General features: G+C 28.9%; 1 annotated feature.

Moving 5' to 3' along the window:
• Positions 397-566: an enhancer, noted in NCBI's record as "experimental_99672 CRE fragment used in MPRA reporter constructs". NCBI's record gives its function as "activates a minimal promoter by MPRAs in K562 erythroleukemia cells, with activity observed for both the introgressed and non-introgressed 7:52116462 variant alleles {active_cell/tissue: K562}" and the evidence as "EXISTENCE:reporter gene assay evidence [ECO:0000049][PMID:34662402]".

The following is a 1135-nucleotide window of genomic DNA, read 5'->3' as shown; positions in this document are numbered from 1 at the left end:
TAAGTCTCCCGAGTAGCTGGGACCACAGGTGGGCACCATCATGTCCAGTTAATGTTTTTGTATTTTTAGTAGAGATGGGGTTTCGTCATGTTGCCCTGGCTGGTCTCAAACTCCTAGGCTCAAGTGATCTGCCCACCTTGGCCTCCCAAAGTGCTGGGATTACAGGTGTGAGCCACCGCGCCTGGCTGATAGCATGCATTTTAAAGAAAAATATTTATAGGGTGTATTTTTTAAACTTGAAAATGTATTTATGTATCAAAGTATTGAATTCTCAATGTAATGGGAATTTTTAATAAATAAAACAATTGAGAAAATCATAGGGAAAAATATGTTTATTTGTGTTCCACAATGAGAATTAACAAAATTTTTATTTTCTTCTTCTGTGTGCATGTGTGGTGTTTGCACAACTGAGATTTTTAAAAATCTTTACTTACTTTGAGTAATCTATAAAACAACGTATTTTTTTCTTGTATCATCACATAGTATGGAGAAGAATCACATTAAAATATATTCTCCAGGTTTACTGAGGGGGGCTGCATTTAAGCATTTAATAATTATAATTTGGGCTTAAATTACTTGTGTTATTAAAATTACTACATCAAGAAATACCTTTGCATATCAGTTCATTTTGCATTTTTAATCACTAGAAAGAATTCTTAAAAGTGAGATTATCAGATAAATATGAAAGAAGATCTTTAAGGATCTTGATACATGTTGTTAATTTTTTAAGATACTTCATATTTAGCTGTTTTTTTTTCCCACCAGTGTGGGAATGCTTATATCATGCAACCTTGTCATAATTTATTATTTTTATTTAAAATACATTTTATAATCCAAAGTTATTTCTAATTGCTTTTTGAATGCACATTTTATTATTCATGGAAATATTTTTGTGTTTTCTATTAACAACTTTTTAATTCTCATCCTTTACTGTATATCAAATCATAGTTTTAACATGCTTCTTACCAAATTGAAAGAATTTTAAACATGAATAATATTAAGGTATGCTACATTTGGCATATTAATATATTAATGTCTTATATTTGCAACAAATGTTATTTTTATTATTTTGTTCATTTTTCTGAATGTAAGAGTAAATTATATTTACTCCAAAACATTAAACACATAAAAATCC

Source organism: Homo sapiens, chromosome 7 (assembly GCF_000001405.40).
Source record: "Homo sapiens chromosome 7, GRCh38.p14 Primary Assembly".
Lineage (NCBI taxonomy): Eukaryota > Metazoa > Chordata > Mammalia > Primates > Hominidae > Homo > Homo sapiens.
This window is presented reverse-complemented; position numbering and strand designations above follow the sequence as displayed.